General features: G+C 41.4%; 1 pseudogene across 1 annotated transcript; it reads left to right on the top strand.

The window, feature by feature from the left end:
* Positions 1-628: 628 nt before the first annotated feature.
* Positions 629-15509, top strand: ADAM20P1 (ADAM metallopeptidase domain 20 pseudogene 1; annotated as a pseudogene). Its single transcript, NR_037933.1, has 2 exons — positions 629-950; positions 12793-15509. The product of NR_037933.1 is annotated as an ADAM metallopeptidase domain 20 pseudogene 1 (transcript).
* The last annotated feature ends 5183 nt before the right edge of the window (positions 15510-20692 follow it).

The following is a 20692-nucleotide window of genomic DNA, read 5'->3' as shown; positions in this document are numbered from 1 at the left end:
TATTAAAATATCACATGGTTTCTGTCACTCTTTCTTGTAACGTGGTGTAGTGCATTTGTTGATTTGTGTATGCTAAATCATCTTGCATCACTGGCATTAATCCCACTTGATCATATTGAATAGTCTTCTTAATATGCTGTTGGATTTGGATTGCTAACACCTTACTAAGAATTTTTGCATGTACATTCATCAAGGAGTTTTTGTTGGCCTGTTGTTTTTGTTGTTGTTGCTGTGTTGTTTGGTTTTGGAATCAGGGCAGTAGTGGCCTGGTAAAACTAGTTTGGCAATACTCATTCCTTTTCAGTTTTTCTGGAATAGTTTGAGGAGAATAGGCATTAGCTCTTCAAATGTTTGTAGAATTCAGCACTGAAGCCATTAGTTCCTGAGCTTTTCTTTGATGAAAGACTTTTTATTACTGATTCAGTTTCCTCGCTCATGTATTACTGATTCAATTTCCTCACTCATCACTGGCCTGTTCAAATTTTCTATTTCTTCATAATTTAATGTTGGTAGGTTATATCTGTCCAGGAATTGATCCCTTTCTTCTGTGTTATGAAATTTGTTGTCATAATAGTCTCTTATGACCCTTTATATTCCTGTACTATCAGTTGTAACATCTCCTTTTCATCTGCATTTTATTTATTTCAGCCTTCTCTCTCTTTTTTTCTTAGTCTAGATAAAGGCTTGTGGATTTTGTTTTTTAAACCAGCTCTTCATTTCATTGATCTTTATTTTAGTCTTTTTTTGTTTATTTCTTCTCTGAGCTTTATTATTTCCTTTTTAGATTGCCAATTTTGCCAATTTTGAGTTTGGTTTGTTCCTGCTTATCTCTCGCCTAAGTCTTAAAGATTAAGAGCTTGTGAACAGAATATTGGCAGAAATATGGACAATGAAGGCCTTTCTGATGAGGTCTCAGATGGAAATGAGGAATATCTTATTAGAAACTGAAGGTAAGGTCATCCTTGTTATAAAGTGGCAATAAACTTGGCTGAATTATCCTCATGACAGAGGACGTTGTGGGAAAAATAATTAAAAAGCAATGAAGCAATGCACTGACCAGGCATGGTGGCTCATGCTTATAATCCCAGCACTTTAGGAGGCTGAGGCAGAAGAATTGCTTGAGCCAGGAGTTCAAGACCAGCCTGAGCAATATAGTGAGACTTTGTCTCTACAAAAACAAACAATCAAATGATAGATAGATGATAGATAGATAGACTACATATATATGGTATATATGTACACATGAATATATAGACAAAAATATTTTATTAATATTTTGCTTAGATATTTCTGTTATATATATACATACACACATACACACACACACACACATATATAAACACATATATAAAAAACAACCAAATAAAATAAAAGTAATACATAATACATATATATATATATAGACATCTGGCCATAGAAATATCTAAGCAAAATATTAATAATCTGTATGGCTTCTATCAACTGCTTAGAGTAAACGCTAGAAGAAAGAAAGTATTTTTTTATTTTTTATTTTTATTTTTATTTATTTTTATTTATTTATTTTTTTATTATACTTTAAGTTTTAGGGTACATGTGCACATTGTGCAGGTTAGTTACATATGTATACATGTGCCATGCTGGTGCACTGCACCCACTAACTCGTCATCTAGCATTAGGTATATCTCCCAATGCTATCCCTCCCCCCTCCCGCCACCCCACAACAGTCCCCAGAGTGTGATATTCCCCTTCCTGTGTCCATGTGATCTCATTGTTCAATTCCCACCTATGAGTGAGAATATGTGGTGTTTGGTTTTTTGTTCTTGCGATAGTTTACTGAGAATGATGTTTTTCAGTTTCATCCATGTCCCTACAAAGGACATGAACTCATCATTTTTTATGGCTGCATAGTATTCCATGGTGTGTATGTGCCACATTTTCTTAATCCAGTCTATCATTGTTGGACATTTGAGTTGGTTCCAAGTCTTTGCTATTGTGAATAATGCCGCAATAAACATACGTGTGCATGTATCTTTATAGCAGCATGATTTATAGTCCTTTGGGTATATACCCAGTAATGGGATGGCTGGGTCAAATGGTATTTCTAGTTCTAGATCCCTGAGGAATTGCCACACTGACTTCCACAATGGTTGAACTAGTTTACAGTCCCACCAACAGTGTAAAAGTGTTCCTATTTCTCCACATCCTCTCCAGCACCTGTTGTTTCCTGACTTTTTAATGATTGCCATTCTAACCGGTGTGAGATGATATCTCGTAGTGGTTTTGATTTGCATTTCTCTGATGGCCAGTGATGATGAGCATTTCTTCATGTGTTTTTTGGCTGCATAAATGTCTTCTTTTGAGAAGTGTCTGTTCATGTCCTTCGCCCACTTTTTGATGGGGTTGTTTGTTTTTTTCTTGTAAATTTGTTTGAGTTCATTGTAGATTCTGGATATTAGCCCTTTGTCAGATGAGTAGGTTGCGAAAATTTTCTCCCATGTTGTAGGTTGCCTGTTCACTCTGATGGTAGTTTCTTTTGCTGTGCAGAAGCTCTTTAGTTTAATTAGATCCCATTTGTCAATTTTGGCTTTTGTTGCCATTGCTTTTGGTGTTTTGGACATGAAGTCCTTGCCCACGCCTATGTCCTGAATGGTAATGCCTAGGTTTTCTTCTAGGGTTTTTATGGTTTTAGGTCTAACGTTTAAATCTTTAATCCATCTTGAATTGATTTTTGTATAAGGTGTAAGGAAGGGATCCAGTTTCAGCTTTCTACATATGGCTAGCCAGTTTTCCCAGCACCATTTATTAAATAGGGAATCCTTTCCCCATTGCTTGTTTTTCTCAGGTTTGTCAAAGATCAGATAGTTGTAGATATGCGGCGTTATTTCTGAGGGCTCTGTTCTGTTCCATTGATCTATATCTCTGTTTTGGTACCAGTACCATGCTGTTTTGGTTACTGTAGCCTTGTAGTATAGTTTGAAGTCAGGTAGTGTGATGCCTCCAGCTTTGTTCTTTTGGCTTAGGATTGACTTGGCGATGCGGGCTCTTTTTTGGTTCCATATGAACTTTAAAGTAGTTTTTTCCAATTCTGTGAAGAAAGGCATTTGTAGCTTGATGGGGATGGCATTGAATCTGTAAATTACCTTGGGCAGTATGGCCATTTTCACGATATTGATTCTTCCTACCCATGAGCATGGAATGTTCTTCCATTTGTTTGTATCCTCTTTTATTTCCTTGAGCAGTGGTTTGTAGTTCTCCTTGAAGAGGTCCTTCACATCCCTTGTAAGTTGGATTCCTAGGTATTTTATTCTCTTTGAAGCAATTGTGAATGGGAGTTCACTCATGATTTGGCTCTCTGTTTGTCTGTTGCTGGTGTATAAGAATGCTTGTGATTTTTGTACATTGATTTTGTATCCTGAGACTTTGCTGAAGTTGCTTATCAGCTTAAGGAGATTTTGGGCTGAGACAATGGGGTTTTCTAGATATACAATCATGTCATCTGCAAACAGGGACAATTTGACTTCCTCCTTTCCTAATTGAATACCCTTTATTTCCTTCTCCTGCCTAACTGCCCTGGCCAGAACTTCCAACACTATGTTGAATAGGAGTGGTGAGAGAGGGCATCCCTGTCTTGTGCCAGTTTTCAAAGGGAATGCTTCCAGTTTTTGCCCATTCAGTATGATATTGGCTGTGGGTTTGTCATAGATAGCTCTTATTATTTTGAAATACGTCCCATCAATACCTAATTTATTGAGAGTTTTTAGCATGAATGGGTTGTTGAATTTTGTCAAAGGCTTTTTCTGCATCTATTGAGATAATCATGTGGTTTTTGTCTTTGGCTCTGTTTATATGCTGGATTACATTTATTGATTTGTGTATATTGAACCAGCCTTGCATCCCAGGGATGAAGCCCACTTGATCATGGTGGATAAGCTTTTTGATGTGCTGCTGGATTCGTTTTGCCAGTATTTTATTGAGGATTTTTGCATCAGTGTTCATCAAGGATATTGGTCTAAAATTCTCTTTTTTTGTTGTGTCTCTGCCTGGCTTTGGTATCAGAATGATGCTGGCCTCATAAAATGAGTTAGGGAGGATTCCCTCTTTTTCTATTGATTGGAATAGTTTCAGAAGGAATGATACCAGTTCCTTCTTGTACCTCTGGAGAATTCAGCTGTGAATCCATCTGGTCCTGAACTCTTTTTGGTTGGTAAGCTATTGATTATTGCCACAATTTCAGATCCTGGTATTGGTCTATTCAGAGATTCACCTTCTTCCTGGGAGAGTGTATGTGTCGAATTTATCCATTTCTTCTAGATTTTCTAGTTTATTTGCGTAGAGGTGTTTGTAGTATTCTCTGATGGTAGTTTGTATTTCTGTGGGATCGGTGGTGATATCTCCTTTATCATTTTTTATTGCATCTATTAGATTCTTCTCTCTTTTTTTCTTTATTAGTCTTGCTAGCAGTCTATCAATTTTGTTGATCCTTTCAAAAAACCAGCTCCTGGATTCATTAATTTTTTGAAGGGTTTTTTGTGTCTCTATTTCCTTCAGTTGTGCTCTGATTTTAGTTATTTCTTGCCTTCTGCTAGCTTTTGAATGTGTTTGCTCTTGCATCTCTAGTTCTTTTAATTGTGATGTTAGGGTGTCAATTTTGGATCTTTCCTGCTTTCTCTTGTGGGCATTTAGTGCTATAAATTTCCCTCTACACACTGCTTTGAATGCGTCCTAGAGATTCTGGTATGTTGTGTCTTTGTTCTTGTTGGTTTCAAAGAACATCTTTATTTCAAAGAACATCTTTATTTCTGCCTTCATTTTGTTATTTACTCAATAGCCATTCAGGCGCAGGTTGTTCAGTTTCCATGTAGTTGAGCGGTTTTGAGTGAGATTTTTAATCCTGAGTTCTAGTTTGATTGCACTGTGGTCTGAGAGATAGTTTGTTATAATTTCTGTTCTTTTACATTTGCTGAGGAGAGCTTTACTTCCAAGTATGTGGTCAATTTTGGAATAGGTGTGGTGTGGTGCTGAAAAAAATGTATATTCTGTTGATTTGGGATGGAGAGTTCTGTAGATGTCTATTAGGTCTGCTTGGTGCAGAGCTGAGTTCAATTCCTGGGTATCCTTGTTGACTTTCTGTCTCGTTGATCTGTCTAATGTTGACAGTGGGGTGTTAAAGTCTCCCATTATTAATGTGTGGGAGTCTAAGTCTCTTTGTAGGTCACTCAGGACTTGCTTTATGAATCTGGGTGCTCCTGTATTGGGTGCATATATATTTAGGATAGTTTGGTGTTCTTGTTGAATTGATCCCTTTACCATTATGTAATGGCCTTCTTTGTCTCTTTTGATCTTTGTTGGTTTAAAGTCTGTTTTATCAGAGACTAGTATTGCAACCCCTGCCTTTTTTTGTTTTCCATTTGCTTGGTAGAACTTCCTCCATCCTTTTATTTTGAGCCTATGTGTGTCTCTGCACGTGAGATGGGTTTCCTGAATACAGCACACTGATGGGTCTTGACTCTTTATCCAACTTGCCAGTCTGTGTCTTTTAATTGGAGCATTTAGTCCATTTACATTTAAAGTTAATATTGTTATGTGTGAATTTGATCCTGTTATTATGATGTTAGCTGGTGATTTTGCTCGTTAGTTGATGCAGTTTCTTCCTAGTCTTGATGGTCTTTACATTTTGGCATGATTTTGCAGCGGCTGGTACCGGTTTTTCCTTTCCATGTTTAGTGCTTCCTTCAGGAGCTCTTTTAGGGCAGGCCTGGTGGTGACAAAATCTCTCAGCATTTGCTTGTCTGTAAAGTATTTTATTTCTCCTTCGCTTATGAAGCTTAGTTTGGCTGGATATGAAATTTTGGGTTGAAAATTCTTTTTTTTTCACTCTTTTTTTTTTTTTATTGATCATTCTTGGGTGTTTCTCGCAGAGGGGGATTTGGCAGGGTCATAGGACAATAGTGGAGGGAAGGTCAGCAGATAAACAAGTGAACAAAGGTCTCTGGTTTTCCTAGGCAGAGGACCCTGGGGCCTTCCGCAGTGTTTGTGTCTCTGGGTACTTGAGATTAGGGAGTGGTGATGACTCTTAACCATCATGCTGCCTTCAAGCATCTGTTTAACAAAGCACATCTTGCACCGCCCTTAATCCATTTAACCCTGAGTGGACACAGCACATGTTTCAGAGAGCACCGGGTTGGGGGTAAGGTCATAGATCAACAGCATCCCAAGGCAGAAGAATTTTTCTTAGTACAGAACAAAATGGAGTCTCCTATGTCTACTTCTTTCTACACAGACACAGCAACAATCTGATTTCTCTATCTTTTCCCCACATTTCCCCCTTTTCTATTCGACAAAACCGCCATCGTCATCATAGCCCGTTCTCAATGAGCTGCTGGGTACACCTCCCAGATGGGGCGGCAGCCGGGCAGAGGGGCTCCTCACCTCCCAGAAGGGGCGGCCGGGCAGAGGCGCCCCCCACCTCCCGGACAGGGCGGCGGCCGGGCAGAGGCGCACCCCCACCTCCCTCCCGGACGGGGCGGCTGGCCGGGCGGGGGCTGACCCCCACCTCCCTCCCGGACGGGGCGGCTGGCCAGGTGGGGGCTGACCCCCCACCTCCCTCCCGGCGGGGCGGCTGGCCGGGCGGGGGCTGCCCCCCACCTCCCTCCCGGACGGGGCAGCTGCCGGGCGGGGGCTGCCCCCCCACCTCCCAGATGGGGCAGCTGCCGGGCAGAGATGCTCCTCACTTCCCGGACGGGGCGGCTGCTGGGCGGAGGGGCTCTTCACTTCTCAGACGGGGCGGCCGGGCAGAGACGCTCCTCACCTCCCAGACACGGCGGTGGGGCAGAGGCGCTCCCCACATCTCAGACGATGGGCGTGGGCGGCCGGGCAGAGACGCTCCTCACTTCCTAGACGGGATGGCAGCTGGGAAGAGGCGCTCCTCACTTCCCAGACTAGGCAGCCGGGCAGAGGGGCTCCTCACATCCCAGATGATGGGCGGCCACGCAGAGACGCTCGTCACTTCCCAGACGGGGTGGCGGCCAGGCAGAGGCTGCAATCTCAGCACTTTGGGAGGCCAAGGCAGGCGGCTGGGAGGTGGAGGTTGTAGCTAGCCAAGATCATGCCACTACACTCCAGCCTGGGCAACATTGAGCACTGAGTGAACGAGACTCCTTCTGCAATCCTGGCACCTCGGGAGGCTGAGGCTGGCAGATCACTCCCGGTTAGGAGCTGGAGACCAGCCTGGCCAACACAGCGAAACCCCGTATCCACCAAAAAAATACGAAAACCAGTCAGGCATGGCAGCGCGCGCCTGCAATCGCAGGCACTCGGCAGGTTGAGGCAGGAGAATCAGGCAGGGAGGTTGCAGTGAGCAGAGATGGCGGCAGTACAGTCCAGCTTCGGCTCCGCATCGGAGGGAGACCGTTGAAAGAGAGGGAGAGGGAGACCGTGGGGAGAGAGAGAGGGAGAGGGAGAGGGAGCAAAAATTCTTTTCTTTAAGAATGTTGAATATTGGCCCCCACTCTCTTCTGGCTTGTAGGGTTTCTGCCGAGAGATCCGCTGTTAGTCTGATGGGCTTACCTTTGAGGGTAACACGACCTTTCTCTCTGGCTGCCCTTAACATTTTTTCCGTCATTTCAACTTTGGTGAATCTGACAATTATGTGTCTTGGAGTTGCTCTTCTCGGGGAGTATCTTTGTGGCGTTCTCTGTATTTCCTGAATCTGAACGTTGGCCTGCCTTGCTAGATTGGGGAAGTTCTCCTGGATAATATCCTGCAGAGTGTTTTCCAACTTGGTTCCATTCTCCCCATCACTTTCAGGTACACCAATCAGATGTAGATTTGGTCTTTTCACATAGTCCCATATTTCTTGGAGGCTTTGCTCATTTCTTTTTATTCTTTTTTCTCTAAACTTCCCTTCTCACTTCATTTCATTCATTTCATCTTCCATCGCTGATACCCTTTCTTCCAGTTGATCGCATCGGCTCCTGAGGCTTCTGCATTCTTCACGTAGTTCTCGAGCCTTGGTTTTCAGCTCCATCAGCTCCTTTAAGCACTTCTCTGTATTGGTTATTCTAGTTATACATTCTTCTAAATTTTTTTCAAAGTTTTCAACTTCTTTGCCTTTGGTTTGAATGTCCTCCCGTAGCTCAGAGTAATTTGATCGTCTGAAGCCTTCTTCTCTCAGCTCGTCAAAGTCATTCTCCATCCAGCTTTGTTCCATTGCTGGTGAGGAACTGCGTTCCTTTGGAGGAGGAGAGGCGCTCTGCTTTTTAGAGTTTCCCGTTTTTCTGTTATGTTTTTTCCCCATCTTTGTGGTTTTATCTACTTTTGGTCTTTGATGATGGTGATGTACAGATGGGTTTTTGGTGTGGATGTCCTTTCTGTTTGTTAGTTTTCCTTCTAACAGACAGGACCCTCAGCTGCAGGTCTGTTGGAATACCCTGCCATGTGAGGTGTCAGTGGGCCCCTGCTGGGGGGTGCCTCCCAGTTAGGCTGCTCGGGGGTCAGGGGTCAGGGACCCACTTGAGGAGGCAGTCTGCCCATTCTCAGATCTCCAGCTGCATGCTGGGAGAACCACTGCTCTCTTCAAAGCTGTCAGACAGGGACATTTAAGTCTGCAGAGGTTACTGCTGTCTTTTTGTTTGTCTGTGCCCTGCCCCCAGAGGTGGAGCCTACAGAGGCAGGCAGGCCTCCTTGAGCTGTGGTAGGCTCCGCCCAGTTGGAGCTTCCCGGCTGCTTTGTTTACCTAATCAAGCCTGGGCAATGGCGGCCGCCTCTCCCCCAGCCTGGCTGCTGCCTTGCAGTTTGATCTCAGACTGCTGTGCTAGCCATCAGCGAGACTCCGTGGGCATAGGACCCTCCAAGCCAGGTGCCAGATATAATCTCGTGGTGCGCCGTTTTTTAAGCCTGTCGGAAAAGCGCAGTATTCGGGTGGGAGTGACCCGATTTTCCAGGTGCTGTCCGTCACCCCTTTCTTTGACTCGGAAAGGGAACTCCCTGACCCCTTGCGCTTCCCAAGTGAGGCAATGCCTCGCCCTGCTTCGGCTCGCGCACGGTGCGCGCACCCACTGACCTGCACCCACTGTCTGGCACTCCCTAGTGAGATGAACCTGGTACCTCAGATGGAAATGCAGAAATCACCGTCTTCTGCGTCGCTCATGCTGGGAGCTGTAGACTGGAGCTGTTCCTATTCGGCCATCTTGGCTCCTCCCCCAGAAAGAAAGAATTTAAAGACAGTTTATCACTAAAAGGGAAGCAGAGCATAAAGACAGAAAATTCTCAGCCTGGGTTTTCTTCTCCATCTAAGACTCCCATAATGCATATGTTGTTTAGCTTGATGGTGTTTCACAATTTCTTTTTGTTCTGTATACTTTTCTTCATTCCTTCTTGTTTCTTCTACTTAGATCAGATAAGTTCAATTGTCCTATCTTCAAGTATTTTCAAGAAAAGAAGACTTTTTTTCTCTTTGAACAAATCTGCTGTTGAGCAACCCTACTACATTTTTCATTGTAGTTACTGTGCCTTTCCAATCCAGAATTTTCATTTATTTCCTTTTTGTAATTTTCTTTGTTAAAAATGCTTATTTTGTTCATATATTAGTTTTTTGATTCTTCTGGGTTTTTTTTTTTTTTGTCCATGTTTTCCCTTAGCTCTTTGACTATACTTCAAACTGTTGTTTTATGGACTTAGTCTAGTAAGTCTGGTGTCTAGGTTCTATTGGGGATGATTTCTGTCAATTATTTTGTTCTTTTGAATAAGCCATGTCTTACTGTTTCTTTGTATACTTTGTACTTTTTGTTGTTTATGACAATAGGGTATTTGATTATTACAGTGTGGTAACTGAGAACATATTCTCATTCCTTCCGGTAATGCTTTTGAAAAGTTTAGTTGTTGAAGGATATAAGGCATTTGTTTAGATATTTTTCCAAACAAATTTAGTCAAGCCTATCTGGTTTTGTGTGCTCAGTAAAGATGCTGTTCCTTTAGCTTGCATTAACTAATGTTTTGGCAAAGGTTTCTTTAATTATTGGAGTATTTTGAAGATGGCATTTTCTTGATGTATGTTTGTTTGTTTGTTGTAAACCTTTGCATTTTTTTCCAAAGCTCTTACACAGTTGATTCAGATAGCTGAATTTCTAGGTTTTTTCTTTTTCAATGTTTCTATGGGGGAAGGAGAGCTTGCAGTTTTCCAGCCTGATATTTTACTGATGTCACTCTCACTTAAAACTTTTTAAAACATCTATGATTTCAAAAATAATACATTATAATTCATGAAAAGCCAGATGAGACACACAAAGAGAGAACTAAATTCAAGAAGATTTTTAAAAGACTAAACACAATACACACACACAGACACACACATACACACGATTACTCAAACCTAACTCATTTCTAGAACTTCTGTGTACCCCCAAACAGTCCCTTCACGTCATTGAAATAGTCTGCTAATTTATACAACATTGTGACTAGGGGGTTTCCTGGCTGTATCTTTTCAGTATCTGTGATATTATGATTTTATATATATATATATATATTTTATATATAATATATACACACACACACACACACACACATACACACATAGGTTTTCATCCATAGTTCCTGGCTTACAATGCCCACAACCTTATTATAGTTTTGTTATAATTAATGTTGGAGTGCTTTAGGCCTCAGAAACAGACCTGAAGAATCAGAATCCCTCTCTCTCTCTCTGACCTTTTCCTGTCCTTTTTCACCTATCCAAGGCAGGACTAATCTGATTATGGGGCAGAAGACCCTCATTCCAGAGGGGGTCCTACCCAATATCCTAAAGGAAGAATGGTAAACACAGAGGCGAAGACTGAACAGACAGGCCTTGCTGGGTTTAAACCATGCACTTTCTCCAATCACATTTCTGTGTGGTTGTCAATCATGCCTATGTAATGAAACCTCTATAAAAACTCAAAAGGGTAGGGTTCAGAGAGCTTCTGGATAGCTGAGCATGTGGGGGCTCCTTGATGATTGTGCACAAGGAGGGCATGGAAGCTCTGTGCCCCTTGCACCATACCTCACCCTATGCATCTCTTCTTCTGTATCATATATAATACCCTTTATAATAACTGGGTAAGCGTAAGTGTTTTCCTGAGTTCCATTCCAACAAATTAACCAAACTCCAAAAAGGAGTCATGGGAACCCCAAATTGAAGCTTGTTGATCAGAAGTTCTGGAGGCCTACACATGTGACTGGTAGCTGAAGCTGGGGACTGGATGCCTAACCTGGGGAATCTGACACTATACCCAGGTAGATGGTGTCAGAATTGATTTGAAGGACACACAGCTAGTATCTGCTGCTTGGTGTGTGTGAAAAACAAAAACAAAAACACTTTTGGTCACAGAAGTCTTCTTTAGTGTTGATTGTTGTTGCAGTGTGAGAGCAGAGGACAAAAACGATTTGACAGATTGCTGAAAACAGTACCTGAATATAAAAAGCAGCCTAATTATCTTTCGAATATCACTTCCCTTATGTCATCCCCATTCTTACAGATTTCAGTCAATATTTCCCGTCATGTCAAATAATAAACGGATAACTAGCTATTACTCCTCCCCAAAGGGCTCAATCCTTTTTATCTGTTCCTATTTTTCAATAATTCTTAATATACATATAATGTATAAATTAGTACATTTTATAATTCTTACCATTACAATTACTTTTATTCCTCTTTCTACTTTTATTACATTACTTTCTTCTAGAAATTATTATTTTTTTTTATTGTGGCCAATTAATTTCAGGCTGAGATCAACTCATTCTTGTACTTTTAAAGTATTTCTGACTGCACTGAATTTAAAACAAATCTTTCAATGTTGCACACATTTAAATATTAATATATTCTTCTTTTCTAAATATTACCTTGTGTAAATCCTCCCAACTAAAAGGTATGACTCATAAGAGGAGAAAAATAAATGAGGTAAGCTGCTGTAGGTAACTTCCTTATACCAAATTGAGTCTGTTTTCATGCAATTCTATGTTAAAACTATTTTTGAAAAGGAAAGGCAGATGGTTTCTGAGATAATTTCATGATGTGCTAATTCTGGATTGAGTCAGAAAGAAGCTAAAGTCAGATCCTTTATAGAAAATTAACTCTTGAGGTGTACTTAGCTTATGATAAAATACACAGATTTTAAGGGTGCAGCTTGATTAGCTTTTATTTGAAATCACCATTGCAATCAAGATATTTGACTGATACTTTACCTTTTTCCAGAAAGGTCCTTTTATGCCCCATTCCCCTGCTCACACATCTAGAAACTAATAATTACATTTCTATTTCCATAGATTAATATGAAGTATCCTAGAACTTCATACAAATTAAAACATAATCTACTCCATTTGGTCTGGCTTCTTTGTCTCATAATTTCTTTGAAATTCAACCATGATCTTGCATGTTTCAGAAGTTTGTTCATGTTATAACAGAGGAGTATTTCAATGAATGAATATATCAGTTTGTTTATCCATTCACCTATCAAGGACTGGTTCTTGGTTTCCAGATTGTAGAATACATTTATGAATAATACTGCTATGAACATTCATAGACAAGACTATGTGGTAAGTTCCTAGGACTGAAATTGCTGGATCAAAGCGTAGGTATATGTTTAACTTGATAAGAAATTATAGTTACACACCCTAATTTTTCTCATGACATTTTACTCTCCAGTTCATCCATTACCCTCAGCTCCATTTGATTTCTATAACCTCTAAGTCTATCCTCAAAATTCTTTTAAGAAGTTTCTACTTTCCTTATCATTGTATATGCTTCCCTCTTTTAATTACATGTTGAATCCTTCCCTCATTTAGGCTTGAGAAAAATGTCCTTAAGTGTCGTAAACTTGCATCAAACCCACTTACTCATCAAACCCCACTTATGACTTCCCTTAGAGGACAAGCGACATTTCAGCTCAGTTATACACTGCTTTTCTCAATTCCTGCCATTTTTTTCTCTTCCTTTGCCCCCTGGCCTACGTCTCCAGCTCACTGAAAACAGCCTCCCCTGATGAGCACACCATTGTTATGTAATAGCCTAACCCTTACCCCTCGCCTATCAGGGGGTGCCAAGCCTGCAGACTCACTCTGCCTTCCTCAAAACTGCCCTGAGGAGAAGGCTGAAGACTGAGGAATCCTCTTTCTGCCTCCCATTTGACTGCATTTTCTTTGGTCAAAGGCTTCCTTATTCATGGGACCTGCCTGGGTCCAGGACCCCTTGACAGGTGCTCTCTGGCTGCCTGTCCTCTGGGCACTCTTGTCCCAGGTCTATTGTTTTCATGACCCACCAGGATGGCGCTTCACTTCCTCAGAAATTGTGATCCCCAGGAAAGTGCCCCACAAGAGGGGTGGAGTTGAGATGCCAGACCAGCTCTCTTACAGCATGCGTTTCCGGGGCCAAAGACACGTGATTCACATGAAGCTCAAGAAGAACATGATGCCCAGACATTTACCTGTTTTTACTGATAATGACCAAGGGGCCATGCAGGAGAACTACCCTTTTGTCCCACGAGACTGTTACTATGACTGCTACCTGGAAGGGGTTCCTGGGTCTGCGGCCACATTGGACACCTGCCGTGGAGGTCTGCATGGCATGCTGCAGGTGGATGACTTGACTTACGAAATCAAACACCTGGAGGCTTCTTCCAAATTTGAGCATGTAGTATCTCTGCTTGTGTCAGAAGAAAGACCAGGAGAGGCTAGTAGATGTAAGACTGAAGGGGAAGAGATAGATCAAGAATCTGAAAAGGTAAAACTGGCTGAAACTCCCAGAGCAGGCCACGTTTATTTGTGGAGGCATCATAGAAAAAACTTGAAAATTCACTACACGGTTACTCGTGGATTATTCATGCGGAACCCTAATGTGTCACATATAATAGAGAATGTAGTGATTATTAACAGCATCATACATACCATTTTCAAACCAGTTTATTTAAATGTCTATATATGTGTTTTGTGCATATGGAATCAAAAGGATGCAGTACTATTTTCTGCTAGCAGGCCAGGCCACGTTGCTGTAGAACTGTTTGGTGTGTGGAAATATCACAATTTGTATTCAGAAATTTCACATGATACCTCAGTTGTTTTTACATCAAATCGACTTGGAAACAGTGAGTGTTATGCCAGCTTTGATGGAATATGCACCCCCAACTGGGGAGCAATGTTTGTGTATATAATGAGGTATCACCTATTTAGGGGGGCATGTGTTACAGCACATGCACTAGGTCATAACATGGGCTTGAGACATGATTCTGTTGGTTGTTATTGTTTTCGACGAACCAACTGTCTCATGACCCTGTTCCTGATCTTAATGATATGATGAGCAATTGTTCTTATGAGATAATTCAACGCAAGTTTAATCAATGGGATCCTTGTTTGAGTGCTCCAAATGTTCCATACACTAATTTTCCATACGTAGCTCCTCGTTGTGGAGACAAGATCAAAAATCAGAGGGAAGAATGTGACTGTGGCTCCCTTAAAGATTGTGCCAGTGATAGATGTTGTGAGACCTCTTGTACCCTTTCTCTTGGCAGTGTTTGCAATACAGGACTTTGCTGCCATAAGTGTAAATATGCTGCCCCTGGAGTGGTTTGCAGAGACTTGGGTGGTATATGTGATCTACCGGAATACTGTGATGGGAAAAAGGAAGAGTGTCCAAATGACATCTACATCCAGGATGGAACCCCATGTTCAGCAGTATCTGTTTGTATAAGAGGAAACTGCAGTGACCGTGATATGCAGTGTCAAGCCCTTTTTGGCTACCAAGTGAAAGACGGTTCCCCAGCGTGCTATCGAAAATTGAATAGGATTGGTAACCGATTTGGAAACTGTGGGGTTATTCTACGGCGAGGGGGAAGTAGACCTTTTCCATGTGAAGAAGATGATGTTTTTTGTGGAATGTTGCACTGTAGCGGTGTCAGCCACATTCCCGGTGGAGGTGAGCACACTACATTTTGTAATATATTAGTACACGACATAAAAGAAGAAAAATGCTTTGGCTATGAAGCACACCAGGGGACAGACTTGCCAGAAATGGGGCTGGTAGTGGATGGTGCAACCTGTGGCCCAGGGAGCTACTGTCTTAAACGCAATTGTACTTTTTATCAAGACCTGCATTTTGAGTGTGATCTTAAAACATGCAATTACAAAGGAGTATGTAACAACAAAAAACATTGTCATTGTCTGCATGAGTGGCAACCACCAACATGTGAACTGAGAGGAAAAGGAGGTAGTATAGATAGTGGCCCTCTACCTGACAAACAATATCGTATTGCAGGCAGCATACTTGTAAATACAAACCGAGCACTAGTTTTAATATGTATTCGTTACATCCTTTTTGTGGTTTCGCTTCTCTTTGGTGGCTTTTCACAAGCAATACAATGTTAGGGAAGAGAAAGGAAAAGAGCCCACACAATGGAGTAAATTACATTGACACTTACTGGGAGATATAATCAATAGTCACTCTGACAATTACATCATCTTTTAGCAATTCTGATGTCATCTTGAAATAAAATCACTTGGCAATTTAAAAAGGTCTGTGTGTTTAAATTTACTTAACATTTCATGTCTGGTCACATTCTCAATACTTCTATAGATGATGGCAGCAACTCCTAGATTCACTAACAAGAGGACTTGTACTCATGTAAGATTTGGGGTCTAATGTTTTCTAGATACCCCTGTGGCAAATCCTGTTTGCACTAATATACATTTGCTTTGCTTTAACACTCTTAAGGTCTTTTTCTTTTTCTTATTTTTTGAGACAGGGTCTCACTCTGGCGCCCAGGCTGCCAGGCTGGAATGCAGTGGTGCAATCTTGGCTCACTGCAACCTCTGCCTCCTGAGTTCAAGCAATTCTCCTGCTTCAATCTCCTGAGTAGCTGGGATTACAGGCACACACCACCACGCCTGACTAATTTTTGTATTTTTAGGAGAGAGAGGGTTTCACCATGTTGGCCAGATTGGTCTCAAACTCCTGGCCTCAAGTGATTCCCCTGCCTGGGCCTCCCAAAGTGCTGGGATTACAGGCGTTAGCCACCGCACCCAGCCTTAAGGTCTTTTTCTAATTGGTTACATTTGAGATGTTTGCTATTTGTCCATTTTATTGTTAGTGTTAAACAAATAAACATAAAAGGCTACTTTGGCACTTATATGGTAGGATAGATTTTAAAAATCTTTTGTGTCATAAGCACCTTGAATTTCAACAGTGGTTCTACCAACTGCTGATTGTGTGATTATAGGCAAAGTCTTAATATTTCAGAGTTTCAAGGTCCACATTTTACATTCCCAGTTGAAATGTACTTTTCCAAAGCATTGTGACAATCAAAAGAAAGCACTTAGAAAAGCCTGAAACATTTTCGGCACTTGGTACATGCTGTCTGCTATCATTTTCATTATTCTCAGTATTTCTACATTGTGTTAAGCCTGGGGAATCCCATATGTAATTTCTCTGGCTTTTTGTCTTTACCGTTAAACTATTACAGAAAGGGTCATTATTCACTGATAAATCACTTCTCAATTTCTCTGGAAATTAAAGGTATGGGACATCATATTTTAAATCTCCAGGAATTGCCTAAGCCCAGCCTATCTATAAATTGCAGGATGGAACTGACAGTCTGATAAATGTACAGACACAAAATCTTACCTAAAGGGAAACAGGAAGAATCACTTCAGAAATAGTGCACTAAGGTCGGGCACAGTGACTCATGGCTATAATCCCAGCAATTTGGGGGCCTGAGGTGGGAGGATTCCTCGAGGCCAGGAGTTTGAGACCAACCTGGGCATCCTTGTGAGACTCTATCTCTATAAACTATCAAAAAAATAAAAAAAAAAATACCCAGGCATGGTGGCATACACCTGCAGTCATAGCAATTCAGGAGTCTGAGGAGGGAGGATCAGTTTGAGACCAGCCTGGGCAACATAGTGAGACCTTGTCAACACAAAATATAAAGAAATTGGCTAGGCATGGTGGCATGTGCCTGTGGTCCTAGCTACTCAGGAGGCTGAGGCAGGAAGATCACTTGAGGCCAGGGGTTCAAGACCAACCTGGGCAAGATAGCAAGACCCTGTCTCTAAAAAAAATTTAAAAATCAGCCAGGTGTGATAGTGTATCTCTATAGATCCAGCTTCTTGGGAGGCTGAGGCAGGAGGATCACTTGAGACCAGGAGCTGGAGGTTACAGTGAGTCATGATCCTACCACTGCACTCCAGCTGAGTGAAAGAGTGACACACTGTGTGTGTGTGTGTGTGTGTGTGTGTGTCTGGGTGTGTTTTAAAAACTTCTCCCTTGTTTTTAAGGCTTATCATATCCAACAAGAGGTGATGTTCCAGGTCAAATAATAAGAGGGAGCTGGAGATGTGGAAGAAAAGAAGCAAGGGGGACTTTAAGAAGATAGGGATCAGGATAGAAGGGAGGTGAGAATCAGAGGCATAAACTGAGGTAGAAGGGAGGAGTCTTTTGGGAAAAGAAGACCATTGAAGTTGTTGGAAACAGGACTCAAGACTAGAGACTGTTCAAAATATTTCTTTTCTTGGTTTCTTCATACCAATTAAAGTAAGTTATTCGTGGAGTGTCAGCTATTCTGCTACCCTTTTCTTCTAAGGTGACACAAAAATGCACAAGTTTGACATGTCCCAAGTAACCAAAGGCAGTGCATTTCAAATTTATACCTGATGAAATCACACCACTTAAGAATTTAACAGATCTATCAACATTGCACCAGACCATATGTCTACACAGATCTGGCCAGGTGTTTGGGTTGAATAGGAGTTTCCGTAGTAGAAGAAATTTGAGATAATAGAAGAGTCTTGTCCCACCTTAGGAAAGTTGCCTAAACTCTCTGCACATCTAAAGAACTCTGAAAGATGGAAGGAAAATGCTGACTTCAGTCTGACAAAAGGGTACCTAGAAAAAAGTCAAAGCATGCAACCACCATGCTCTGAAAGAAAGTCAGGTGATGGGATGATCTGTGTGGCAAACCACCGTGACAGTGTTTACCTATGTAATGAACCTGCATGTCCTATCCTGCACATGTAACACTGACCTTAAAATAAAAGTTGGAAATCAAGAATAAAAATTTAAATGAGGGAAAAAAAGAAAAGAATCAGAGACCAAGAGCAGGGCTTATCTCTCCACCCAAGGATATATATATATATCACTTGAGACCAGTTTTTTTTAAGTGACTCAGACAGAGGTTAAAGGCATTATTCAATTGAACTACATGAGGGAGTACCTGAAGACCAGGTGATGTCACAAGTGAAGCAGTGTCAAGGTTTTTACAAGATGGGAATGTTTTGGGTAGCTGTCCTTGTCCTTTCAATTTTACCATCAGTGTTCACCTTAACCAAAACTCGTAGATGGAGACTATTCGTATTTCCTTGTCCCTTCTTTGGAGTCTAATAACCAACAGAACAATAATTCTGAGAACTGTCTTTACAAACCTTGTGGGTTTTTGGATAGCCATGGGCTGTGAGAGATATACAGTTTAAAAAAAAAAAGGGGGTTGTGGGAAGGGTGCTGGGCATGGTTGCTCATGCCTATAATCCTAGTACTTTGGGAGGCCAAAGTGGGAGGAATGCTTGAGCCCAAGACTTTGAGACCAGCTTGGGCAACATAGCAAGACCCCACCTTTATAACATTAATTTTATTTTAACTTTAAAAAAATAAAGAGAAGAAGGAAAAAGAAAAAGGACAAAAGTGGGAGTCAGGGAGAACCCAGAGCCCTTGCTGTAATGTTTGTTTTAAATCTTTTGCATCTTCATCCCAGGAGGTTAACACTGCTGCACATATCCATTCACAGTTACGATTGTGTTGGGTGGTTCCAAGTGGCTCCCAAGTGAATCCTCTAGTTTCTTCATATAATCCTCCATGCCTCTACTGGGGCTCAGCAGCCTTACCTCCCCCTGCTATCCAGGGTCAATTACTCCTGCCAAAATGACTCTTCTTTTTACCTGCTTGTCCTTGAACAGAAGATGTCCCAGATGCCCTGAGGGCAGCTTGCAGGTCTATGGAACTTATACTGGGTCCCCTGGCAAAGATGCATTCTCTTTGTGGACCAAGACCTGCCTAGAGAACAGATAGTTGCAGGGAGGGAAGCAGATCAGTGGATCATCAAGTGTGATGATAAGTGAGGCCACCCAGCTTCTCTTCCTTGGTTCTGGGCCCCATATATTCTTTCTATTGCGTATACAACACCATGTAGGAATCTCTGACTAAATATACACAATGCATTGTGAAGGCTGGCACTCAATTCTATTCTTTCAGAATATTGTTTCTGAGCTGGCACTCTGGCCCTGCCTTCTGCAGGCCATTCTAAGCAGTCTAGAATAGATGCTACTAAATATTTGATATATGATACAAACAATATAATTCATTGCTACATGCCATTCTTGCACCTCATACACTAAAGAATGAATGAATCCTCTATTCATATGCCAAGTTGCATGAGATTCCATGCTTAAAGATCCCACAATCCATATACCCCCAGTAGTGGTGCTGGCTCAAGTTCTGCAGACAATATCATAACTAGAATATATATATTTTCTTGTGTGAACTAATCTCTGGCCCTCCCAGGATAAAAGGTGCACAAAGGAGTTAATGTCTCACTAATTTGCTCTTTGGTTTCCTCGAAGAGTAGTACCTTCCCAGAAACTCAGCCTTGATCTGTGTCACTGGCAAGTTGGACATTCATGGCAGAAGTGTCTTGATTAATTCTCTTGGCAAGTGGGAGTCCATGCTATTGAGCCCAATGTACCTGTATCTCTGCCACCATGGCCACTTGTTTGTGTGCCCCTTGAAGAACTCATATATATAGATATCCTCTCAAGAGTGTGAAGACCCAAAATAATGGCTAAAGCAGAAAGCTTTTTTACCTTTAGAAAAAGAACAATACATTTGTGAAGAAATGACAAAAGGATCTAAGCTAGGGACAGTGAATTCCAGGGAAGTCACTAGGAGATATATTGGTAGGGAGGAGGAGTTATAAAGCTAGGGAGAGATAAGAGTTACTTTATTTGTACAGGTCTACTGAAGCAACAATTTCCAATCTTTGGGGATAGGGTTATTTTCTTGTCCTGGTACAGGGAAGGCATCTTTCTCCATGGAATTTTTATGGCTTGCTATATGTGGGAAAAGGCAGGTCAGATAGTCACTTCTGGAAATACAGTTTCCAAAGTGCTTTGAGCTTTGAAGTAATCATATACTAATTTGGCATATTTTAGAGCAGCAAACTTTTAACTCCTTTATTTTCCCTGTCTGAAACTTCCCTAACAGTTTCAAATTAAAAGCTGAGTTAGTGTTTGTGGAGAGAAGAGTTGTGTTAGTAGCTGAGTGGCAAGGGGTCTGCAAAGGGAGAGAAGAACACAGATTAGAAGGAGAATTAATAAGCAGAAAAGAACAAATCTAAACACATTTACCCATACTGCATTCAACCAATCTCCTATCACTGGCAATGGGTCAGTCCAATTGAATGGTTTAGCCTCATTTATAAGATGAAGAGTGTTTATTTTGTCTTTCAAAAAGTTCAGATTAGATTCTGTCTGTCCCTAGTGATTTACACATAAGCAGGGTTCCTCACCAATGATTGCATAAGCTCCTCCTTCTTGGGCTGTCATTGTATCCAGGACATGGTGATTCTGAAGTACAACAGAGGCTAAACTGTTCACTTCTGATTGGAGTCTTCTCAGTGCTTGCATAGTAATACTGACTCCTGTTCTATTA

The sequence above is a fragment of the Homo sapiens genome, chromosome 14 (assembly GCF_000001405.40).
Source record: "Homo sapiens chromosome 14, GRCh38.p14 Primary Assembly".
NCBI classification, from domain to species: domain Eukaryota; kingdom Metazoa; phylum Chordata; class Mammalia; order Primates; family Hominidae; genus Homo; species Homo sapiens.
Note: the sequence above shows the minus strand (reverse complement) of the source record. Positions and strands in the feature narration are given on the sequence as shown.